The sequence below is a fragment of the Homo sapiens genome, chromosome 4 (assembly GCF_000001405.40).
Source record: "Homo sapiens chromosome 4, GRCh38.p14 Primary Assembly".
In the NCBI taxonomy this organism is placed as follows: domain Eukaryota; kingdom Metazoa; phylum Chordata; class Mammalia; order Primates; family Hominidae; genus Homo; species Homo sapiens.
The window spans coordinates 102208640-102211813 of NC_000004.12; the positions used below are offsets into that span (position 1 = coordinate 102208640).

General features: G+C 46.0%; 2 annotated features.

The window, feature by feature from the left end:
- Positions 1412-2010: an enhancer, noted in NCBI's record as "H3K27ac-H3K4me1 hESC enhancer chr4:103131208-103131806 (GRCh37/hg19 assembly coordinates)". NCBI's record gives its function as "activates a minimal SCP1, AML or CMV promoter by ChIP-STARR-seq in naive H9 embryonic stem cells {active_cell/tissue: H9 hESC(naive)}" and the evidence as "EXISTENCE:reporter gene assay evidence [ECO:0000049][PMID:30033119]".
- Positions 2011-2609: an enhancer, noted in NCBI's record as "H3K27ac-H3K4me1 hESC enhancer chr4:103131807-103132405 (GRCh37/hg19 assembly coordinates)". NCBI's record gives its function as "activates a minimal SCP1, AML or CMV promoter by ChIP-STARR-seq in naive H9 embryonic stem cells {active_cell/tissue: H9 hESC(naive)}" and the evidence as "EXISTENCE:reporter gene assay evidence [ECO:0000049][PMID:30033119]".

Consider the following 3174-nt stretch of genomic DNA (forward strand, 5'->3'; position numbering starts at 1 on the left):
GATAGTTAGCTCCTCTTGTTGAATTGATCCCTTTACCATTATGTAATGGCCTTCTTTGTCTTTTTTGATCTTTGTTGGTTTAAAGTCTGTTTTATCAGAGACTAGGATTGCAACCCCTGCCTTTTTTTGTTTTCCATTGGCTTGGTAGATCTTCCTCCATCCTTTTATTTTGAGCCTATGTGTGTCTCTGCACGTGAGATGGGTTTCCTGAATACAGCACACTGATGGGTCTTGACTCTTTATCCAACTTGCCAGTCTGTGTCTTTTAATTGGAGCATTTAGTCCATTTACATTTAAAGTTAATATTGTTATGTGTGAATTTGATCCTGTCATTATGATGTTAGCTGGTGATTTTGCTCGTTAGTTGATGCAGTTTCTTCCTAGTCTCGATGGTCTTTACATTTTGGCATGATTTTGCAGTGGCTGGTACCGGTTGTTCCTTTCCATGTTTAGCGCTTCCTTCAGGAGCTCTTTTAGGGCAGGCCTGGTGGTGACAAAATCTCTCAGCATTTGCTTGTCTGTAAAGTATTTTATTTCTCCTTCACTTATGAAGCTTAGTTTGGCTGGATATGAAATCCTGGGTTGAAAATTCTTTTCTTTAAGAATGTTGAATATTGGCCCCCACTCTCTTCTGGCTTGTAGGGTTTCTGCCGAGAGATCCGCTGTTAGTCTGATGGGCTTCCCTTTGAGGGTAACTCGACCTTTCTCTCTGGCTGCCCTTAACATTTTTTCCTTCATTTCAACTTTGGTGAATCTGACAATTATGTGTCTTGGAGTTGCTCTTCTCGAGGAGTATCTTTGTGGCGTTCTCTGTATTTCCTGAATCTGAACGTTGGCCTGCCTTGCTAGATTGGGGAAGTTCTCCTGGATAATATCCTGCAGAGTGTTTTCCAACTTGGTTCCATTCTCCGCATCACTTTCAGGTACACCAATCAGACGTAGATTTTGTCTTTTCACATAGTCCCATATTTCTTGGAGGCTTTGCTCATTTCTTTTTATTCTTTTTTCTCTAAACTTCCCTTCTCACTTCATTTCATTCATTTCATCTTCCATTGCTGATACCCTTTCTTCCAGTTGATCGCATCAGCTCCTGAGGCTTCTGCATTCTTCACGTAGTTCTCGAGCCTTGGTTTTCAGCTCCATCAGCTCCTTTAAGCACTTCTCTGTATTGGTTATTCTAGTTATACATTCTTCTAAATTTTTTTCAAAGTTTTCAACTTCTTTGCCTTTGGTTTGAATGTCCTCCCGTAGCTCAGAGTAATTTGATCGTCTGAAGCCTTCCTCTCTCAGCTCGTCAAAATCATTCTCCATCCAGCTTTGTTCCGTTGCTGGTGAGGAACTGCGTTCCTTTGGAGGAGGAGAGGCGCTCTGCGTTTTAGAGTTTCCAGTTTTTCTGTTCTGTTTTTTCCCCATCTTTGTGGTTTTATTTACTTTTGGTCTTTGATGATGGTAATGTACAGATGGGTTTTCGGTGTGGATGTCCTTTCTGTTTGTTAGTTTTCCTTCTAACAGACAGGACCCTCAGCTGCAGGTCTGTTGGAATACCCTGCCGTGTGAGGTGTCAGTGTGCCCCTGCTGGGGGGTGCCTCCCAGTTAGGCTGCTCGGGGGTCAGGGGTCAGGGACCCACTTGAGGAGGCAGTCTGCCCATTCTCAGATCTCCAGCTGCGTGCTGGGAGAACCACTGCTCTCTTCAAAGCTGTCAGACAGGGACATTTAAGTCTGCAGAGGTTACTGCTGTCTTTTTGTTTGTCTGTGCCCTGCCCCCAGAGGTGGAGCCTACAGAGGCAGGCAGGCCTCCTTGAGCTGTGGTGGGCTCCACCCAGTTCGAGCTTCCCGGCTGCTTTGTTTACCTAAGCAAGCCTGGACAATGGCGGGCGCCCCTCCCCCAGCCTCGCTGCCGCCTTGCAGTTTGATCTCAGACTGCTGTGCTAGCAATCAGCGAGATTCCGTGGGCGTAGGACCCTCCGAGCCAGGTGTGGGATATAGTCTCGTGGTGCGCCGCTTTTTAAACCGGTCTGAAAAGCACAATATTCGGGTGGGAGTGACCCGATTTTCCAGGTGCGTCCATCACCCCTTTCTTTGACTCGGAAAGGGAACTCCCTGACCCCTTGGGCTTCCCAGGTGAGGCAATGCCTCGCCCTGCTTCGGCTCGTGCATGGTGCGTGCACCCACTGGCCTGAGCCCACTGTCTGGCACTCCCTAGTGAGATGAACCCAGTACCTCAGATGGAAATGCAGAAATCACCCGTCTTCTGTGTCGCTCACGCTGGGAGCTGTAGACCGGAGCTGTTCCTATTCGGCCATCTTGGCTCCTCCCCCGGAAACTCCCATTTTTAAAACCATCAGATCTCATGAGACTTATTCACTATCATGAGAACAGCAAGAGAAAGACCCACCCCCATGATTCAATTACTTCCCACCAGGTTCCTCCCACAACACTTGGGAATTTTGGGAGTTACAACTCAATATGAGATTTGGGTGGGGACACAGAGCCAAACCATATCACAGACTGAAAGAAGACAGAAGCTAACTCCCTCATGCTTTGAGCAGGGGTTCAAAACCATCAGGAAGCTCACTGCTGGACTTCCTTTCTCTTCTCAGCCCTCCCATCATCCTGGAGACTAAGCAGGAGAGACAGGCAGCAAAGAGATGGGAGGGGAAGCCAAGAGGAAGTCAATGAGCACATTCTCCAAAAATGCAATGCTTTAGTTTTTCAGACATCTGAGAGAGAAATGGGGACACATTTCATTCTGAGCTGAGACACTGTTTTCAGGTTTAAGTATATATGTGATTAAATGATATTTAATGATTTTGTACTCCTTTCCACTTAGTTCTCCCATGGGCTCCATAAAATTATTTCTTTTTCTCTTTAACCCACTGTTAAAAACCTGTTTGGACACACTCTCTCATAAGAACTTATGTGTAGGATGTGTAATTTTCTTTTTCTATTTTTTTTTTTTTTTTGAGACAGAGTCTCGCAGTTGCCCAGGCTGGAGTGCAGTGGCACGATCTAGGCTCACTGCAACCTCCACCTCCTGGGTTCAAGCAATTCTCCTGCCTCAGCCTTCTGAGTAGCTGGAATTACAGACACCCATCACCATGGTGAGCTAATTTTTTGTATTTTTAGTAGAGACAGGGTTTCATCATGTTGGCCAGGCTGGTCTTAAACTCCTC